The 23,172-nt window shown below is 37.9% G+C and overlaps 1 long non-coding RNA gene across 1 annotated transcript in view; it reads left to right on the top strand.

The window, feature by feature from the left end:
- GNAO1-DT (GNAO1 divergent transcript) overlaps positions 1-23,172 on the top strand; it is a 98,108-nt gene that overhangs the window by 30,980 nt on the left and 43,956 nt on the right. The window lies entirely within an intron of this gene.

The following is a 23,172-nucleotide window of genomic DNA, read 5'->3' as shown; positions in this document are numbered from 1 at the left end:
GTATTTCTAGTTCTAGATCCCTGAGGAATCGCCACACTGTCTTCCACAATGGTTGAACTAGTTTACAGTCCCACCAACAGTGTAAAAGTGTTCCTATTTCTGCACATCCTCTCCAGCACTTGTTGTTTCCTGACTTTTTAATGATTGCCATTCTAACTGGTGTGAGATGGTATCTCATTGTGGTTTTGATTTGCATTTCTCTGATGGCCAGTGATGATGAGCATTTTTTCATGTGTTTTTTGGCTGCATAAATGTCTTCTTTTGAGAAGTGTCTGTTCATGTCCTTCACCCACTTTTTGATGGGGTTGTTTGTTTTTTCCTTGTAAATTTGTTTGAGTTCATTGTAGATTCTGGATATTAGCCCTTTGTCAGATGAGTAGGTTGCAAAAGTGTTCTCCCATTTTGTGGGTTGCCTGTTCACTCTGATGGTAGTTTCTTTTGCTGTGCAGAAGCTCTTTAGTTTAATTAGATCCCATTTGTCAATTTTGGCTTTTGTTGCCATTGCTTTTGGTGTTTTAGACGTGAAGTCCTTGCCCATGCCTATGTCCTGAATGGTAATGCCTAGGTTTTCTTCTAGGGTTTTTATGGTTTTAGGTCTAAAGTTTAAGTCTTTAATCCGTCTTGAATTAATTTTCATATAAGGTGTAAGGAAGGGATCCAGTTTCAGCTTTCTACATATGGCTAGCCAGTTTTCCCAGCACCATTTATTAAATAGGGAATCCTTTCCCCATTGCTTGTTTTTCTCAGGTTTGTCAAAGATCAGATAGTTGTAGATATGCGGTGTTATTTCTGAGGGCTCTGTTCTGTTCCATTGATCTATATCTCTGTTTTGGTACCAGTACCATGCTGTTTTGGTTACTGTAGCCTTGTAGTATAGTTTGAAGTCAGGTTGCATGATGCCTCCAGCTTTGTTCTTTTGGCTTAGGATTGACTTGGTGATGCGGGTTCTTTTTTGATTCCATGTGAACTTTAAAGTAGTTTTTTCCAATTCTTTGAAGAAAGTCATTGGTAGCTTGATGGGGATGGCATTGAATCTATAAATTACCTTGGGCAGTATGGCCATTTTCATGATATTGATTCTTCCTACCCATGAGCATGGAATGTTCTTCCATTTGTTTGTATCCTCTTTTATTTCCTTGAGCAGTGGTTTGTAGTTCTCCTTGAAGAGGTCCTTCACATCCCTTGTAAGTTGGATTCCTAGGTATTTTATTCTCTTTGAAGCAATTGTGAATGGGAGTTCACTCATGATTTGGCTGTCTGTTTGTCTGTAATTGGTGTATAAGAATGTTTGTGATTTTTGTACATTGATTTTGTATCCTGAGACTTTGCTGAAGTTGCTTATGAGCTTAAGGAGATTTTGGGCTGAGACAATGGGGTTTTCTAGATATACAATCATGTCATCTGCAAACAGGGACAATTTGACTTCCTTTTTTCCTAATTGAATACCCTTTATTTCCTTCTCCTGCCTAATTGCCCTGGCCAGAACTTCCAACACTATGTTGAATAGGAGTGGTGAGAGAGGGCATCCCTGTCTTGTGCCAGTTTTCAAAGGGAATGCTTCCAGTTTTTGCCCATTCAGTATGATATTGGCTGTGGGTTTGTCATAGATAGCTCTTATTATTTTGAGATACTTCCCATCAATACCTAATTTATTGAGAGTTTTTAGCATGAATTTTGTCAAAGGCCTTTTCCGCATCTATTGAGATAATCATGTGGTTTTGTCTTTGGTTCTGTTTATATGCTGGATTACATTTATTGATTTGCGTATATTGAACCAGCCTTGCATCCCAGGGATGAAGCCCACTTGATCATGGTGGATAAGCTTTTTGATGTGCTGCTGGATTTGGTTTGCCAGTATTTTATTGAGGATTTTTGCATCAATGTTTATCAAGGATATTGGTCTAAAATTCTCTTTTTTGGTTGTGTCTCTGCCCGACTTTGGTATCAGGATGATGCTGGCCTCATAAAATGAGTTAGGGAGGATTCCCTCTTTTTCTTTTGATTGGAATAGTTTCAGAAGGAATGGTACCAGTTCCTCCTTGTACCTCTGGTAGAATTCGGCTCTGAATCCATCTGGTCCTGGACTCTTTTTGGTTGGTAAGCTATTGATTATTGCCACAATTTCAGAGCCTGTTATTGGTTTATTCAGAGATTCAACTTCTTCCTGGTTTAGTCTTGGGAGGGTGTATGTGTCGAGGAATTTATCCATTTCTTCTAGATTTTCTAGTTTATTTGCATAGAGGTGTTTGTAGTATTCTCTGATGGTAGTTTGTATTTCTGTGGGATCGGTGGTGATATCCCCTTTATCATTTTTTATTGCATCTATTTGATTCTTCTCTCTTTTCTTCTTTATTAGTCTTGCTAGCGGTCTATCAATTTTGCTGATCCTTTCAAAAAACCAGCTCCTGGATTCATTAATTTTTTGAAGGGTTTTTTGTGTCTCTATTTCCTTCAGTTCTGCTCTGATTTTAGTTATTTCTTGCCTTCTGCTAGCTTTTGAATGTGTTTGCTCTTGCTTTTCTAGTTCTTTTAATTGTGATGTTAGGGTGTCAATTTTGGATCTTTCCTGCTTTCTCTTGTGGGCATTTAGTGCTATAAATTTCCCTCTACACACTGCTTTGAATGTGTCCCAGAGATTCTGGTATGTTGTGTCTTTGTTCTCGTTGGTTTCAAAGAACATCTTTATTTGTGCCTTCATTTCATTATGTACCCAGTAGTCATTCAGGAGCAAGTTGTTCAGTTTCCATGTAGTTGAGCGGTTTTGAGTGAGTTTCTTAATCCCGAGTTCTAGTTTGATTGCACTGTGGTCTGAGAGACAGTTTGTTATAATTTCTGTTCTTTTACATTTGCTGAGGAGAGCTTTACTTCCAAGTATGTGGTCAATTTTGGAATAGGTGTGGTGTGGTTCTGAAAAAAATGTATATTCTGTTGATTTGGGGTGGAGAGTTCTTTAGATGTCTATTAGGTCTGCTTGGTGCAGAGCTGAGTTCAGTTCCTGGGTATCCTTGTTAACTTTCTGTCTCGTTGATCTGTCTAATGTTGACAGTGGGGTGTTAAAGTCTCCCATTATTATTGTGTGGGAGTCTAAGTCTCTTTGTAGGTCATTCAGGACTTGCTTTATGAATCTGGGTGCTCCTGTATTGGGTGCATATATATTTAGGATAGTTAGCTCTTCTTGTTGAATTGATCCCTTTACCATTATGTAATGGCCTTCTTTGTCTCTTTTGATCTTTGTTGGTTTAAAGTCTGTTTTATCAGAGACTAGGATTGCAACCCCTGCCTTTTTTTGTTTTCCATTTGCTTGGTAGATGTTCCTCCATCCCTTTATTTTGAGCCTATGTGTGTCTCTGCACGTGAGATGAGTTTCCTGAATACAGCACACTGATGGGTCTTGACTCTTTATCCAATTTGGCAGTCTGTGTCTTTTAATTGGAGCATTTAGCCCATTTACACTTAAAGTTAATATTGTTATGTGTGAATTTGATCCTGTCATTATGATGTTAGCTGGTTATTTTGCTTGTTAGTTGATGCAGTTTCTTCCTAGCCTCAATGGTCTTTACAATTTGGCATGATTTTGCAGTGGCTGGTACCGGTTGTTCCTTTCCATGTTTAGTGCTTCCTTCAGGAGCTCTTCTAGGGCAGGCCTGGTGGTGACAAAATCTCTCAGCATTTGCTTGTCTGTAAAGTATTTTATTTCTTCTTCACTTATGAAACTTAGTTTGGCTGGATATGAAATTCTGGCTTGAAAATTCTTTTCTTTAAGAATGTTGAATATTGGCCCCCACTGTCTTCTGGCTTGTAGAGTTTCTGCCGAGAGATCAGCTGTTAGTCTGATGGGCTTCCCTTTATGGGTAACCCAACCTTTCTCTCTGGCTGCCCTTAAGATTTTTTCCTTCATTTCAAGTTTGGTGAATCTGACAATTATGCGTCTTGGAGTTGCTCTTCTTGAGGAGTATCTTTGTGGCATTCTCTGTATTTCCTGAATCTGAATGTTGGCCTGCCTTGCTAGATTGGGGAAGTTCTCCTAGATAATATCCTGCAGAGTGTTTTCCAACTTGGTTCCATTCTCCCCGTCACTTTCAGGTACACCAATCAGACGTAGATTTGGTCTTTTCACATAGTCCCATATTTCTTGGAGGCTTTGTTCATTTCTTTTTATTTTTTTTCTCTAAACTTCCCTTCTCGCTTAATTTCATTCGTCTCATCTTCCATCACTGATACCCTTTCTTCCAGTTGATCGCATCGGCTCCTGAGGCTTCTGCATTCTTCACGTAGTTCTCGAGCCTTGGCTTTCAGCTCCATCAGTTCCTTTAAGCACTTCTCTGTATTGGTTATTCTAGTTATACATTCGTCTAAATGTTTTTCAAAGTTTTTAACTTCTTTGCCTTTGGTTTGAATTTCCTCCGGTAGCTTGGAGTAGTTTGATCGTCTGAAGCCTTCTTCTCTCAACTCGTTAAAGTCATTCTCCGTCCAGCTTTGTTCCATTGCTGGTGAGGAACTGCGTTCCTTTGGAGGAGGAGAGGCGCTCTGCTTTTTAGAGTTTCCAGTTTTTCTGTTCTGTTTTTTCCCCATCTTTGTGGTTTTATCTACTTTTGGTCTTTGATGATGGTGATGTACAGATGAGTTTTTGGTGTGGATGTCCTTTCTGTTTGTTAGTTTTCCTTCTAACAGACAGGACCCTCAGCTGCAGGTCTGTTGGAGTTTGGTAGAGGTCCACTCCAGACCCTGTTTGCCTGGGTACCAGCAGCGGTGGCTGCAGAACAGCAGATTTTCATGAACTGCAAATGCTGCTGTCTGATCGTTCCTCTGGAAGTTTTATCTCAGAGGAGTACCCGGCCGTGTGAAGTGTCAGTCTGCCCCTACTCGGGGGTGCCTCCCAGTTAGGCTGCTCGGGGGTCAGGGGTCAGGGACCCACTTGAGGAGGCAGTCTGCCCGTTCTCAGATCTCCAGCTGCGTGCTGGGAAAATCACTGCTCTCTTCAAAGCTGTCAGAGAGGGACATTTAAGTCTGCAGAGGTTACTGCTGTCTTTTTGTTTGTCTGTGCCCTGCCCCCAGAGGTGGAGCCTACAGAGTCAGGCAGGCCTCCTTGAGCTGTGGTGGGCTCCACCCAGTTCGAGCTTCCCAGCTGCTTTGTTTACCTAAGCAAGCCTGGGCAATGGTGGGCGCCCCTCCCCCAGCCTCGCTGCCACCTTGCAGTTTGATCTCAGACTGCTGTGCTAACAATCAGCAAGAGTCCGTGGGCATAGGACCCTCTGAGCCATGTGCGGGATATAATCTCCTGGTGTGCTGTTTCCCAAGCCTGTCAGAAAAGTGCAGTATTAGGGTGGGAGTGACCCGATTTTCCAGGTGCAGTCCGTCACCCCTTTCTTTGACTAGAAAGGGAACTCCCTGACCCCTTGCGCTTCCCGAGTGAGGCAATGCCTTGCCCTGCTTAGGCTCGCGCACGGTGCACGCACCCACTGACCTGCGCCCACTGTCTGGCACTCCCCAGTGAGATGAACCTGGTACCTCAGATGGAAATGCAGAAATCACTCGTCTTCTGCTTCACTCACGCTGGGAGCTGTAGACTGGAGCTGTTCCTATTTGGCCATCTTGGCTCCGACCGATAAACTTGTTTCCTATTTGGTTGAATTGGGATTACAAGCATAGACTTTATTAATATCACCAAGTGATATCATATAGATATTATGTACCCCTTGATAATTAGGTGATGAGAAAGACACTTTCCCGTTGTTGTATTCTCTCTAAAAACCCACAACCCCAGCCTAATCATGAGAAAACCATCAGACAAACCAAACATAAGGAACATTCTACTATTTTGTGCTACTTTGACCAGGACTCCTAAAAACTGTCAAGGTGATGAAAAACAAGAAAAGAATGAGAAACTGTCACAGATCAGAGGAGACAAAGGAGACAGGACACCTAAAGTAATGTGGTATCCTGGACTAGATTATAGAACATACAAAAATACATTAATGAAAAAGCTGGTGAAATTTGAATAAAATTGAGAGTTTAATTGACAGTAATGTACCAATGTTGTGCTGATTTTTTAATTTTGACAAACTAAGCAAGGTAACATAAGGTAATAACAATAGGAGCAATGAAACTGGGTGAGGGGTATGTTATCACTGCTGTCTTTGCAACTTTTTCATAAATATAAAAGTACTCCAAAATAGTTTATTGACAAACTATCTATGCATATATAGTATTATATTTATATATATGCACTTTATTGAGTTGTTATGCATATTGAATGAAAGAGCACATATGAAGCAGCCAGGATAGTGCCTGACACATAATAGGGCCTCAAATGTTAGCTCCCTTTACACACTGGAGGCTCTAAACAGTGGGCAGGTGGGAGGGGTATGAGGATTGAAAGACTACCTATTGGGTTCACTAATCAGGTGATGGGTGCACTAAAAGCCCAGACTTCATCACCATACAATATATGCATGCAAGGAACCTGCACTTGTACCCCCAAATATATTTTTTTAAACTAGTGATTTTCAAATTTTGTTTATATAAAAACCACATGGAGATGTTATGTCAAAAATGCAAACAAATCTCAGGGCCTCAGCCTTAGAGATTCTGATTTAGTGGGTCTGGAATAGAGTCCAGGAAGAGGAATTTGTAATAGGTGTCCTTCAGAGACTTTATGCAAGTGGCCTATGACCATGCTTGGAGAATTGCTGCTGTAGACTATGGGAATCCTAGAGTGAGAATTGTACATTACCCTGAGGAGGAAAATAATGGAGATAAAAATGCCTGCCCTACTTACCTCACATTGGTTGATGGGAGAAAAATATAGAAGCAAGCACTTCACAAACTGTAAGTTACAATCGAAATCATTACAGATTAATTTGGAAGAGAGGTCTGATTAGGTAGCCATTTAATATTAACTACAGTGTGGTTGAAATCTAATTTTTATCCCTGTCACCCTCCTAAAAATGTTTAGCTGCTTTTCCTGCTTAAATGCTCAGATGACCCATAGGACAAAGGCACAGTTCAACTCCTTCAATTACAGATGAGCTAACTGAAGCTGAGAGAAGAGATGTGACTGGTTCAAGGTCGTAGAGATAGTTATTGAGAGAATGGGATTAATACCCACTCTTGCAAGCTTCAGTCCAACTGTTTTTTCTGCTACCAGATAATTAATAGGTGCCACCCTCAGAGTCTCAGACCTTTCATATGGGCTCTGGAAAAAGAGAATGTGTATCTGACTTATTGAGGAGGATGCCAGGAGTTTGTTTGCCTGAGTCCTGCTGACAGTTTTCTCTTGGTCCACTGTGTTCTAGAATAACTCAGTTTCACTTCAGTGAGGTAGAATAAAAAGGGATCATCTGAACAGGAAAATGGCCCTTCATGGACAGTCTTGTATCATACTCAGCTTCTACATCCTCAGCCACGTCAGCTATGTGTCGTCAGCCTGGAAGAGCTCACCACGCCTTCACAACACTGACCAACAACTCAGGCACACTTCCCTGTTGTGTCTTCCTGAGTACCTACAGGATGATCTGAGTTCCTAGGTGGTTTCTGATACTTCCTGGGGAAGAGTATCTGGTTTTTGTGTTCTGACCCGCAATTGCAGTAAAGCAGTCCAGCTGGCTTCCCTTCTACCTTGAGCATTGTGTGTTGGCATCTTCTGGGTGTAACTGGGATCCATAGTCATAAGTATCATGTAGTGACATCCTGCCATGACACTGTCTTCCTCTCAGCACGTTTTACCTTGCCACTCTGCTGTATTGCGGCTTCCTGGGCTATGCTCTGAGAAGTGGAGCACGAGCATGCCCACTTGTTTTGTAATGCCTGTCTGTGAGTCTCTATCATTCCCTGAGATTTTGATTCCAAGATGGCAGGGGAGAAAGTAGGCTCTTGTTGCGTCTCCATTCTTTTACTCTCTTGTTTTTTTGTTTGTTTGTTTGTTTTCTCTTCTCTTTTTTTTTTTTTTTTTGGTCCCCCCGCCCCAAGATGCCCTCCTGGAGCTCAGAAAGGGCTTTTACTTTCACCCTTTGTATTGGGAAATGCCCTTACTTCATAACTTATAACCTACCTACTTTATGACTTATGGTAAAGACCCTTTACTCTGACTACTCCAAGCTTTGGACCTATAAATTCATTTTTCCTAGAACAAATCCTGTCTGTTGCAAATGAAATATATTTTAGTTTTGACAATTACTTTCCCTGAAATAATTTTTATTTCAGAGCCTATCATGAAGAGGTTAAAAACGGAGGAAGAAGGAAAGGGAGTGACATGTTGGACTGGAAATAGGAGGGTTCAGTTAAAATGTGCATTTTGAATGGTGACACCCCTCAGCTCCCTTCCTTATCCATTTGTCTTTTCTCAGGAAGCTAAAGAATGATGCGCTCCACCACAATGAGGGACTAAACAACAAAAAGGAGGCATGAGATTCAGGAAGCAAAAAAGGTGTGTAGAGAATTCTCAGGATGATGCTGAAGGAAAACCCCAGGATGACAGCTATACATTAGGCCTAGAGAGCAACCAGTCCCAACTGGAAGTGGGGGATGGAGGGCTCTAGGGCAAAATAATCTTCTGATTGGTTTTACCGTGTGGAAAGTTGAATTGAATTGCTATTAATGGGTATGGTAGGGTCTAGAAGTCTCAGCAAATTTTAAGGAGGAACAATTATTGACTCAAAAAAAAAAAACCAGTTGCACAAAAAGGAGAGGTAATCATAGTTAACAACTTAACTCAGCACTGAGTGATATTTAAATATCCAGTAAATACAAATTGAATATTGCTTTAACTAAAAAAGAAAATAGATATATTTGTGTTGGAAAAATTGGGGATAGGAAATGGATGTAAGTGAAAAATGATATGGTAAGTCAATAGTTGAACACCCAGAATTGATGAATCAAGATACAGAAGTTTAAACATATTATTTAGAAATATGAAGATAACCACAAAGAGAAACAGCTAAAATATTTGAAAATGTTTGCCTCTGGGGAGTGGAATGTAACCTCAACTTTTTTGTGTTTTTTTTTCTAATAACATTATCTCTCCAACAAAAATAAAACCTAAAATTCACCTAATAAATCAGTTTGTTTAGAAACAAATGTGTATGTATTTAAAGGCTTACACTAGCAAAAAACAAAAGCAAGCAAACCCAAAACACTTCAAACTGTACATGAACCTAATTAATATTTCACTTGGTTCAAGGCTTCTCACATTTGCTTCTCATCTACTTTTGGAAGAAACTCAGGGAGATGAGGTTTTTACGTAGTCAAACCTATGAGGTTACGCCATAGTCAATATCCTCAGTGAAGCTGACATGAATCTGTTTAGGGCTGAAAAGCAACTACTAATAGACATTGATTTTAAGCTTGTGATGATACCATCTTCTTTCTACTTTAAGTTTTGGGAAGCTCTGTTTATGCCTCAAATCTGTGATACTTTGTGGAAGTTTGCATTATGATTTTTGATATCTCCAGAGATTAGTGACATAAACTACTGAACATATGTAGTTCTAGCAGTTTTTGTTATTCATAAAATAGCAACACATTTTATTCATATTTATTTATATTTCATGATAAACAATCAGCTATCTTTGATACAACACTTAACTGGTATGATTGTTAAACTCAAAATAGTCACATGGTTTATTGTTAAATACAGACAGTGATTCCATCTTTGTGCCCTCTTGTATATAAATTGTTTCACATTTTTTTGCTTCTCGTGTGTGTAATAAAAATAGCTCTCATAACTGAGTGGAGGTTTCAGTGAAATATCCCACTGTGACATTTAATATATTTATTTGATGCACTTACCTTTGGTTCCCAGTACCATGAAATGTAGTCTGCAGGTTAGTATTCTCATTTTACATGATAAACTGGTCCTCATCGTTTACAGCTAGTGAAGCATTTGTATCTGGGACTTTTCTTTGATAAGCCCTTCAGCACATTACTCTTCTCATTTTCAGAAGCTCCCTTTCTTCTTCCTTCTCTGACTTCTTTTTTCCTAAGGCTCCATTTCAATCTCCTAGTCTTTGTGAGCTCTTCTCTGATGTCTCATTTGCATTTTTCCTACAATTTCTCAGAGTTCTTAACACTTTAGCAGCTTTTGCATTTCTTCAAAATGTTGATATATTTGAGTAGGTATTAATAGCTAAATATTAGCAATACATAAAATTTTAATACACATAAAATTAGTAAAAATACTTTTGTGCTATTAAGTTCACATGGGTGATACTTTATTTATTTTTGTTTTTAACCTGGTTCTTAGTAAGTATACAGATACATTTTAATGTTACCTAGTAGAAATTCTAAGTTGATTTTTTTAAGATTAATAAAATCCTAGACATAATGCAATTCTTACAAATCATTATTTCTTACCTGTCATTTGTCAATGCAGTATTTATAAATTAACAGTCATGGATTTTCACTTGAATGCAAAATGCTGGAACAGTCTGGAATGGACATGTGAAAGCCATCTCAGAGGATTACCTGAGCATCAGATGGATGGAAAAAAATAGTAGATATATGAGCAAATAGATGGGTAGATAGATCAGTCTCAGGTTTCAACTCTGTTCCTCCAAAGCATGCTTGAGTTACTCTTTCAGTATTGTGGAAGGTTAACAATGCTGGAAAACTGAGTTCTCTACTTTTGAACTTTTATAGGTATGTAACATATCAGGAAAATAAAACATTTGAAACTGGGAACTTACAAATATCTTCAAAAACAATTATTTATTTTACAAAGAGATTTACCCAGACTCCTCATTTAAGGAACATTAGATCTCAGTATTTCATATATAGACAGTCCTGAAGATGTGTTACTCCTGTAGTTTTCATTTGGGATTGATATATTTTGTCCTCCCTATGTTGATGACTGCCAGAAATTCCAGGGATTTAGTTGAATATAAACTGAACTGAAAAATATATATTTACTGAGGTGTTTACAGTATTCACCTTTGATTGTAGACTGAGTTTCTATCTGGCAATAGGCCTCTGGAAATGAAACACTGCAACATTACTGGATGTTTTCTAAAACCATTTTATCTGCCAAATTTACCAAGTGAAAGTGAACGTAAAGAACAAACATGTATCTTACCATTTAACTTATGATTTTTCAAATATGAAGAAAAGTATAGAGAATATGACAAAAACTCATGAATCTGTTATCCAAAATGCTACCATATTTTCCCTATGAATTATTAAAGGATGCCCCCAAGCCATTTTTCCCCTTCCTTCTGAGAAGTAGCTACTGTCTTGAAATTGGTATGTGTGATCCCCTCAATGTTTTTGTGTTTTAAAAAAGCACATGTAAATATTGTAAATATATGACCTCTGGTGTTATGTGTTTCAAAATTTTAAATAAGTGTTATCATGCCATATATATCCTTTTGCAATTTGCTTTTACCATTCAGCATTAGGTTTTTGAAATTTATCTGTGGAGATCTAGTTCATTCATTTGAACTAGAACTATATAGAATCTATTGTAAAACTAAGCCACTTTACTTAATTCCGTTCCCTTACTGATGATGCTAAAGTTGTTTCCACTTATTTTTGTATTACAAATAGTGCTGTAGTAAACATCCTTATATATTTATTCTTGTACACATGGGCAAGAATTTCTCTAGAGCAGTAGTTCTCAAACTTAGGCGTGCATCAGAATCACCTTCAATGCTTATTAAAACACAGGTTGCTCAGGTTGCTGGCTCCAGGACTACACATCCTTTGCCATAATATAGAAGCTGCTAAATCCAGGCTTCCACTGCTAAGAGTTCCAGATCCATGCTGCTTCTGTCATGATTTCTATCAGTCAAATATATCTCTACATGTTGCCTTTTTGCCTATGTAATGGAGCAAATGCACAATTTATTGTTCATCTCTGAACTCTTTTGAGTCTGAAAGGGAGTGTTTTTAATAATTGTAACAACATCTGACTTACAACCCAGTTCTGGATCAAAGCCTCCAGTAGGTGCCTCTGGTGGGAAAATCAAAATTACAAATCTACACCTAACAGCCAAGGAACCTGAGTCTGGAAATTGTAGTTTTTGGGATTCTAGTTTAGAAAGGTAGACTTTGTGCAGAAATGTCAAAATTAGCTAAAGGCCTTAAAAATAGTTTGGAACTACCTACAAAGCAATGATTACTTTGTTATTATTTTAAGTTTTATTTATTTATTTTTCTGTCTTATTCCACTGGCTAAGACTATCAGCACATTGTTGAATAGTTGTGCTGATGGCAAACATTTTTTTCTCTTCTTTCTTGTCTTGAAGGAAGTGCTAATAAAGTTTCATTATGATGATATTTTCTATAGGGTTTTAAAATATGCTTTTGTCAGGTTTAGGAAATTTCCTTTTATTCTTAATTTTCTGAGTGTTTAAAAAAATTATAAATATGTATACATTTAATAATACCTTTTGTACATGCAATAAGATAATGTTTTTTTCCTTTATAAATGTGTTAAATTACATTAAAATATTTTCTAATGTTAGAGCAGCCTTGAATCCTTGGGATAAATTCTACTTGGTAATGATACTTTTTTTTTTTTTAAGTATAAATTTTTGGCTTTGGTCTGGTAATATCTTATTTAGCATTTTTGCAAATATGTTCATAAATGAGCTACAAATTTCCTTTTTTTTTTTTTGAGACAGTGTCTTACTCTGTCGCCCAGACTGGAGTGCAGTGGCACAATCACAGCTCACTGCAGCCTCAAACTCCTGGGCTCAAGCAATCCTCCCAACTCAGCCTCCTGAGTAGGTGGGATTACAGGCACCTGCCACCACACCCAGCTAACTTTTGTATTTTTTGTAGAGTCAGGGTTTTTCCATGTTGCCCAGGCTTCTCTTGAACTCCTCGGCTCAAACAATCCCCCTGCCTCGGCCTCCCAAAGTGCTGGGATTACAGGTGTGAGCCACTGCACCTGGCCAAATTTCCTTTCTAATACTGTACTTTTTCAGTTGTGGTGCCAAGTTATGTCAGTCTTATTAAAATCAGTTAGTGAAGTTGCCGTGTTTACATATTCTCTGAAAAACTTTAAAATGATGATTGTTGGAAGTTTGACATGTTCTCCAATAAAACCATCCAGCATGGTGTGATTTTTATTTATAGAGGATGATATAGATTTTTAATGATCAATTCCAATTCTTTAATGGATATAGATCTGTTCAACTTTTCAATTTGTCATGAGTCTGTTTTGGTAAGTTATATTTTTCTAGAGAATGGTTCAATTTTTATGTTTCCAGTTATGGGTATCAAGTTACTCAGCCTGTTCTCTTGTGATTTAAAAAAAATGTCTATTCTATCTGTAATTATGTCACCCTTTACTTTCAGATCTGTTTTGTTTATGCTTTGTGTTTTTCCCCCATGATTAGCCCTGATTACAAAATAGTTAATTTCTTTTAAAAAGCAACTTTAAGATTTGTTTCTGTTGTTTCTCATTTCATTAACTTCTGCTCTGATGTTTATTTTTTCATTTCATCAACTTTCTCCTAATATCTTGAGTTGCCTACATCATTAATTTTCAATTTTAGGATTAGTTCATTTAGCTGCACACATTTTGAAATATAGGGTTTGCTTTGCGGATCAGTACCAAATATTTTATAATTTTTATTGAGATTTCTTCTTTGACTCATAGATTATTTAGAAATGCATTAAAATTTTCCAAATGAAAAATTCTTAGATAACGCTTTGTTATTGATTCCTAAATTTACTATATTTTGAGTAGACATCTTGGTTTGTGGGATATTTTATTTGGTAGTTTTTGAAATTTTTCTTTGTTCTAATATGTGTTCCATTTTTGCTTGAAAAAAACATTAGTTCTCAAAATGCTGGATGTAGTATTCTATATAATTATTGTCATTGCATCAAGTCTCTTAATTGGGTTATCAAATCATTTATAGTCTCACTTATTTCTGGTCTTTTGATCTATCTGTCATGAAGAATGGCATGTTAAGAAAATCTAATATGGTTGTGGATCTTTCCCTTTATCTTTTTAATTCTGTTTTCCTTGCATATATTTTGGGGCTATGTTGCTAAATTTATATAAGTTCAGAATTATTATGACTTTCAGTAAATTACTCTTTTACCATTATGTATTCCTAATGATACTGTACTGTTTTTTCTTTAGGGTTTTTTTCTGATTGATATTAATATAAATGTACTTTGGTTAGCATTTTTTCTGATGCAAATTTCCCCATCATTTATTCTTAAACTTTCTGTGTCATTCTGGTTTAACTGTAGCTCTTAGAATTAGCATATAGCTGGATTTTATTTGGAAATCCAACCCGAGTCTTAAGTGTCTAGTATTGAAGTTCTTTCTTGTTTTACTATCCGTGAAATGAGACATATCTTAATGATTTTGTTGTTGGTGTTTTACCAGTTTCTTACCTCCTCATTGTTTCTCACACTTCATCTTTGCTCTGGGTTCAATTCTGTTTTTTCCTGAAGTACATCCTTAGGTAGTTCTTTTAGCCAGGGTATCTGAATGGCTTGCTGTCTCACAGCGGCATTCTCTCTAATCAACATTTCAGGCAGGTAAAAACTGCTTTACTGCTTTGCTGAGCTGGTGGGTGGAGTTTTCATAGTTGACAGCAGATAATTGCCAGTCTGAGCAGCCCTTCAAGGGCCTTTGTTTTATATGGAAGCCTCAGTTCCAGCTCCTCTCCTCCTTCTACCCCATAGGTGTCCAATCTTTTGGCTTCCCTGGGCCACATTAGAAGAAGAAGAATTGTCTTGGGTCACACATAAAATATACTAACACTAACGATAGCTGAAGAGCTGAAAAAAAAATCACAAAAATGTCTCATAATGTTTTAAGAAAGTTTACAAATTTGTGCTGGGCTGCATTCATAGCCTTCCTGGGCCGCATGTGGCCTGCAAGCCACGGGTTGGACAAGCCTGTTCTATCCTGAAGCAGCATTTCTTGGCTTGTGTGGGTGGTGGAATCCCAGCTCCCAGGCTCTAGGACCTGTTCCTAGGTTTGAAATCGCCTCCCCATGCACTCCCCTACTGCCCTGGCTTTATGTTCCCATTGTATTCCCATCACCTGGGGAATTCTCACTTTCTTTTAAGCTTAGCTATTTGTTAAATTTTGGGAGGGTAAATATTTTACCCAGAAGTCATATGCGTGTGGTGTTAAGAAACAGTTTCATATTTATTTAGAGCATCGTATGTGCAGAATTGGAATCCTAACCTTCTTTACTAAACACATTTGTTTTTATTCCCAATGTGATTTCCAGTTGCACTATACCTTTGGCCATATTTAGGAAATTAAATAGATGGATACTATTATTTTGTACCTCTATTTTCACTGTTTTTCCAGTGAAACACCTTTTCAATGCATAGGTATCAGTCCATTATTGCTAAATGTCCTTCCTCCTTCGCCTCCCCAACAGACCTCCCTGTCATACCTGTCTACTATCTTCTTGTTACCTATCTTGTGTTTAAGTTCTTCTTAGCTTCTCACGCTGGCAAGTGATATGATGGATATAGAATTTAGTGACTGAACATGGCCTCTAAAGATCGCCTTTTCTAAAATGTTTGCGTTTTATTAGAGGATTGAGAAATACAAAGAATGAGGAGACTCATGGCATTGAAGAGGGCTGTTATGAAAGATACTTTGGGGTACCAACAGTCAAGAAATATTCCCTTCTGGTGCCTCTAGATTACATTATTTCAGAAACTGCCATCTTTGCTATTTCTATTTATGTGTATCTACATTTCCCAAAGAGCTCAATGTCAACTATTACGGACTTTGATGGGAATACAAACTCAAAAAGGAAATAATTATTTTTCTAAAAGGAAAATTTCTCTCTTCTTCTGATCTTTTCCTTCATTTTTTCAAACAAACACAAAAAAAGTCCATATCTACAAAGCAACCAATTACTACAAAGATATCGGAAATAACTTATGCCCTAACATTATAATATGGTGAAAATTATAATCCAAAATGTAGAATAATATCTGGGCTGGCTTTCATCACAGCACTAATATGAAGCCTATTTCAAAGAGAATGAAGTAAAGAGAGTTGCAATTTAGTATGTGAAAGGCTAGGTGAAATTACATGGGCTTTGTCATATTTGCACATCTAAATCTAATGGGAAATTAAATAACTCAAGCTGTGCACTCTCATCTCCAGGAATTCATCATATGAAGGAATGAAGATGTTCAAAAGAAAACCTTCAACCTCATGCCAGAAGATGTTCCCAGCTGTATAAATGCCTAACTCAGCTTCTAGTCCTTGGAAATTAAGCAGCTCATTGAAAATTCAAGAGTTCCAGCCAGAAGCTACAGCTAGGCTCAGATGTTGAAATCAGTCTCTCCTGCTGATCAAACTGTGACATAGCCAAAGCAATAGGCCTGGCTTTTCAGTTAATTCTCAGCGAGCCCTTCCTTTCCCTCTGTAGTGGTTGGTGTGGCATTTATAATATAACTCCTTTATGTACACTGTAAACCATTCCTTCTCAGGGCAGATGGAAGTATGAAATCTATCTATTTCAGTCTATAAAATTATATTTAGAGCGTTAGGTAATGAATGTCCTAGTAAAGTCGGCAGAGGACAGGTAGGTTAAATGACAAGTAAGGAATGACAGGCAGGTAGTAGATGATAAGAGTTGCAGAACAGTTTGGGGAGAAGGACTTTATTTTTAAATGCCTTTAGTAACACTACTACTACTAATATAGCAGTAAAGTACTTTTTACCCATTAATAAATGGGTAAAAGTAATTTCAAGTTAGCAAATTTCTCATTTATATGCAGTGTTTCATATAACAATGGCTCAATCCTGATCCTTGTAGGAAACTACCTTAACCATTGTGTATTTTTTCAGCTTTTAATGACTATACAAGCACATCTTATCATATTTTATATTTTTTACATAAAGAAGTCATGCAACTTACACCATGAACATCTTTCCATATCAGGTCATATGGAACTTTTTCATTCTTTTTAACAATTGCAGAATATTGTGGGAAGTAGTTTAATTTACTCAGCTAGTCTTCTAATGATGGACATTTGGCTTGTTTACAATTTCCATTCTTTCACAAAGCCTGCTGCAACAAATAACATTATTCATATGGCATTTTGTTTAAGTGTGAGTATATATGTAGGATAAATTTCTAGAAAGTAGACTTGCTGGATTAAAAGTTATGTACATTTTAAATTTTGATAGATATTGCCAAATTTCCATGCAAAGGATAAATTTCTTTGTGTAGAATTGCTTGGTTGCATGGTGTATGCATTTCATCTTTCAGAAATGTTGTATCAGTTTATATTCCTGGGCAATATGGGCAAACAAGATAACCTGAAAATCCCCCTAGAAAGACACCTAAAATATTAAAAAATATGTAACAAATATCTCATGTATAGAACTAGGCTTGCAAAAAAGTAAGGCAAATCCCCAGGGATCAAAAAATGAAGAAGCTGAAAACCAAGGGAGGAAGCAGACATTGAAGCCACTGATGCCCTGGGGCATTTATAGTTGCAGGTAACCAAGATGCTTGGTGTTTAACAGCCACATGAAGATAAGACCTTGGACCCAGCAAGGTGTAGAGAGGAGCCAAGACCCTCACAAGAATCTGGAACCCTCAAGCACTAAAAGATGGATAGAAAAAAATAACGAGCGAAAGGAGATAATAAGGCAAATTGTCTGGCTTGGCTTAGGCATACAGAGTAAAAACGAAAAGTATGTACTGAGAATTTATAACCACAGGCCTGCCCTCAAGTGGGATAGGAGTTCTAATACATACTACCTTGGGACACCTTGGGTGCCTAACAGAGGCAAATGCAAATCCTCTCCAAAGACTCATGTCTTCAACCTAGGCTACCTAAGATTCTGCTATGGTTTGAATATTTTTCCCTCCAAAACTCCTGTTGAAATTTAATCCCCATTGTGGCCATATTGAGAGGTGGGGTCTTTAAGAGGTGATTGGGTCATAAGGGATCTGCCCTCATTAATGGACGAATCCATTCATGGATTAATGGATTAATGGGTTATCACAGGAGAGGGACTGGTGGCTTTATGAGGAGAAAAGAGACCTGAGCTAGCATACTCAGTCCTCTTACCATGTGATGCCCTGCACCACCTTTGGACGCTTCAGAGTCCCCACCAGCAAGAAGGCCCTCAGCAGATGTGGCCCCCTGACCTAAAACTTCCCAGCCTCCATTATTGTAATAAATAAATCCTATTCTTTATAAATTATCTAGGTTCGTTATTCTGTGATAAGCAGTAGAAAACAGACTAAGACAATTCCCATGGATAAAAGGTTTGATTGAACATAAATTCACAATCCAAAATTTCATACCAAAAGAAAGATTCCCATGCATGAATGCAAGCAGTAAAAACAGCTTTATTAGACTTCCAGGAACTTCAGATAACGAGCAATCAGATAGAGAGTATAAAATGAGTTTTATATTTTTAAAAGGTTTAAGGAAACAGTATCAGGAATAAGATGTAACTAAGAACACACACATAAACAAGGCCTGACAGGTTTTATAAAATAAAGTAGAACTTCTAAAAAATAAAAAAGTGATAATCAAATTTTAGAATACAATGGAATACTTAAATAACCAAATTAGATTCAGTTGTAAAAAGAATTAGCAAACTGGAAAAATCTGAGGGAAGTACCTAAAGTGCAGCACAGAGTTGCAAGAATGGAAAAATATAAAAAACATTGAATATGTGAGCATTTGAAGGACACATATATGTTGTACTGATGATATTCTACATGGATGAAAGAGAATGAGGGGATATGAGAAATATTTAAAGAGATAATTGGTGAGAATTTTCCAGAACAGGTAGAAGACATGAATCGTTAGATTCAGGAAGCACAATAAATCTCAAATTCTCCTACTGCATTTCAGCATACATCACACATTTTAATGAAATATAACTATATTTCCCAAAACAAACTGTTAATGAGAAGAGTGGCGTTGTTTTACATTTTTGCTAATCTCTTTAATGTCTAGTTTAGTAGAATACTGTTGGATTCTCATATGTGCTTTTGGATTCAACCTGTTCCAATATCACATGTCATATAGCCTTTGGAAAACAAATCTGCAAGAGAATGAGAATGAAAAAGACAAATTATGTCTTAGCATTATTATAAATATACTTTTGGCCTTGTGTAACTCCTGAAAAATTCTCCAGGTTCTTCAAGGGTCTTTAGAACATACTTGGAGGAACACTGATTTATGTATTTATTTAAAAAAATTTTCTTTAGAGATTAGGTCTTGCTTTGTTTCCCAGGCTGGAGTGCAGTGGTGCAATCATAGCTCACTGCACCCTTGAACTCTTGGGCTGAAGCAATCCTCCTATGTCAGCTTTCCAAGTAGCTGGGACAATAGGGGCACACCACCATGCCCAGCTAATTTTTAAAATTTTTTAGAGGTAGGGTCTCACTATGCTGTCCAAGCTGGTCTCAAACTCCCAGCCTCAAGTGATCCTCCTTCCTCAGCCTACTGAGTATCTGGGATTATAGGTGTGAGACACTGTGACCAGCTAGGACCACTGATTTTGTGTAAGTTTTTTATTATGGGTTATGGGTGGTGGACTGGGTGTGTTACAAACAAATATTCTACACACGTACACACACAGGTACATACACACACACAAACAACCATATATGCTCTACATGAATCCCAGTTTTTCAGGGAATTAGAATACATACAATAAGGTACACTTGGATTTGAAACTCAGGGGATTTCATTTCTCTTCCATGATTTAAAGGGTACTTCAGGATCCTGCAATACCATCTTTGTGAACATCAGGAATATTACGTTGGTACATACAGAAAGAAGTCTTGAGTAATACCAGATATTTTTGGTTAATAAGATGGTAAGTAAATTACTTGTTACCATAATCTGATTAAGACATATATATCAAAGGTGAATATGATTCTCCACTACATAATTGCAAAACTGCCCTGGAAGTGGAAAACAAAAATCATCTACCAGGAGACCAACACACCGAGTTTTATTTTCTGGTTTGCATTTAGCACCCAAATGTTTCAGAATCATGAGGAAACTGATGCAACTAATGTAGAAACATCGACTCTGGAGACCAGCTGGAGAGAATGAGAAGATATTTTTTTCATTCCCTGGGAAGTCTCATTTACATAGCTTGAGTTAAATTTTGCTATCAAATTTTCTTTAACTAAAATTTTCTTTTCTGCATCTGATATTTCTCATTTTCAATTTTATATCATTAAAGAGATGGCCCCCTTCTGAATCTGTTAAGGGATCACATCTTGTACTCTTTGATCTCTTTCACATTGAACAAATATGACCCACATATTTTTCCTATCTTATTTATCTTATTATATAAAACCTAAGATGCAAGACATTATTTCAGCAGTGCTCAGGAGAAGAACAGTTGTAATAACTCATTAGATCTCAGACATCTCAATTTCAATTAAAAAGACTCACAAGAACTATTTACAATAGCAAAGACTTGGAACCAACCCAAATGCCCATCAATGATAGACTGGATAAAGAAAATGTGGCACATATACACCATGGAATACTATGCAGCCATACAAAAGAATGAATTCATGTCCTTTGCAGGGACATGGATGAAGCTGGAAACCATCATCCTCAGCAAACTAACACAGAAACAGAAAACCAAACAGCATTGTTCTCACTCATAAGTAAGAATTGAACAATGAGAACACATGGACACAGTGAAGGGAACATTACACACTGGGGCTTGTCAGGGGTGGGGGAAGGGGAGGGAGAGCATTAGGACAAATACCTAATGCATGTGGAGTTTAAAACCTAGATGATGGGTTGATAGGTGCAGCAAACCACCATGGCCCAGGTATACCTATGTAACAAACCTGTATGTTCAGCACGTGTATCCCAGAACTTAAAGTAAAATAAAAAAAGGCATTATCTCTAAATATGTATTTGAATCCACAAGTCTTCATCCCTATTCATTTCTGCTAAAACATAGATAGTAGAAGATTAACTGGCCAGTTTTTAACATGGGACACTGTGACATGCAAAATGACATTATCAAAAGGGTATGAGATAAAAAATGATTCAGTCCAGTAGAATTGCATTTATTACACAAACACATATTGAGTATCTCCTGGGTAACAGGCACTTAGCTAATCCCTGGGTTTCAGAGATAAATAAGAAAGAGTTTGTGCCTTCATAGCCCAGTAGAGGCAGTAAACCTGTAAACAAAAATTGATATAAAGTGTGATAAGACTTATAATAAAGATATGTATGAGGTATATTTATGGCACTAAGGGAGCAATACATTTTGCTTGTGGAATCAGAACGTCTTCACCTTTGAGCTGCTCTTGAGGAGTAAGTTGGAGTTTTCTAGGCTGTCAAGGAGGGTTAGAGTATTCTAGGCAGAAAATAACTACATGTGCAAAGCTCTGCATGTCCAGGCATGGCAGTAATTCAGCCTGTCAAGGCTGGAGTGAAGGGTGAAGACGGAGATCAGTCAGAAATGATGTTGGAGGGTAGGTGAAATTAGTTTGTCAAAGGTCTGTATCCCATGCTAGGAAGCTTACAATTTATCACATAGGTTTCTGGTTTTCCAGATATGCTGTAAATCAGTAGGGGGTTCACAGAGGTACCTGGGGGTACTGGTGGGGTATGTTCAGGGCAAGCAGGGAGGATTCTGCTCCTACCCTTGTCTCAATAAGAACTTCTCAGCTTTACTGTGTGCATGCTTCAAGTTGGACTTCATTGTAAGATTTCATTTTACTCAACAGTGGTCTATTGAGCACATACTTGGTGCCAAGCATTTTGCTGGCATAGCCTGCACAGAGCTTACCTCCCAGTGCAGAAAAAATATTCCTTTTTTTTTTTTTAAGACAGGGGCTTGCTCTGCCACCCAGACTGGAGTGCAGTGGCACAATCACGGCTCACGGAAGCTTCGACCTCCTAGACTCAGGCAATCCTCCTGCCTCAGCCTCTGAAGTAGCTGGGACTACAGGCATGCGCCACCATGCCGGGCTAATTTTTAAATTTTTTTTGTAGAAATGAGGTCTCACTGTGTTGCCCAGGCTGGTCTCCCATTCCTGGGCTCCAGCAATCCTCCTGCCTTGACCTCCCAAAGTGCTGTGATTTAAAGGTGTGAGCTACCGTGCCGGGCCTAAAGATTTCTTTTTTAAAAACTTATAAATCAACAATAATAGGTGAGGGAGAACCTCTAGAAGGTGGTAAGCAGGAGAGTGATATGACCAGATTTGCTTCTTAATCTCTCTCTGTTTGCAGTGTGGACAGTAGGCTCAAGAGCAGAGAGGCTGGGCAGAAAATGAAAGTACAAAATCAATAGGACTTGAGGTGAATATGGAGATGAAGATGACATTGTGTTAGGATAAGTCCCAGGCTTATGGCTTAGATGAATGCATCTGCCATAAGGAATCTAGGAGGAAGAGAGGGGGATAAGGAAGAACCTCTGGGGCATTCAACAATTAGGGAGATATTGGAAGAGGAAGAGGCAGTGATGGAAACTGAGAAGAGGGAGCGGGGGTGACAGTGAGAGACAGTGAGAGAGAGCAGAGAAGAGCGTTATCTCGATGGCAGAGTTTCAAGAAGGCAGAGATCAGTAGTGTCTGATTCAGGGAGACTTTGTAAGATAGACCAGGAAGGCTTCACTTGATTCGGCAAATGGAGAAGCTTGGGTGACTTCAGCAGGATCAGTTTCAGTGGAAGCCAGATTGCAGTGGGCTGAGAAGTGAGTAAGTGGCGAGGAAGTGGAGATGGTGAGAATAGATATCTCCTTTAGGAGAATGGCTGTGAAGGCAGAAGGAGGGAGAGCATGATTGCTTGAGAAAATGCTGAAGTGGGAGGCATGAGTTTATCAATATGCACAGGAGAGGGATCCAGAAGGACAGAAAATTTGTGTGTGTGTGTGTGTGTGTGTGTGTGTGTGTGTGTAATTGCTAAAGGAGATCCCTGAAGATGTGGGACGGATCTCAGGACTCATATCCAGCATCAGTCTTATTGAGAAACCCTAAATATATGAGAATTTAATATATTCAGCATATATACGTGTACATGTATCCACATATACACATATTTGGGATATTTTGGGGGGACAAATTTATTGATAAAAGTTTGAAAATTAATTTCAATTTTTTTAGAGTACTGTAGGATTTTGGATATCAAAGAAACTGCAAAATCTAAATCATGTCTTTTTAATTTTTAATTTTCTCTATTTAGAACATATGAATTTCTGAATAGCAA

The sequence above is a fragment of the Homo sapiens genome, chromosome 16 (genome assembly GCF_000001405.40).
Source record: "Homo sapiens chromosome 16, GRCh38.p14 Primary Assembly".
NCBI lineage: Eukaryota > Metazoa > Chordata > Mammalia > Primates > Hominidae > Homo > Homo sapiens.
This window is presented reverse-complemented; position numbering and strand designations above follow the sequence as displayed.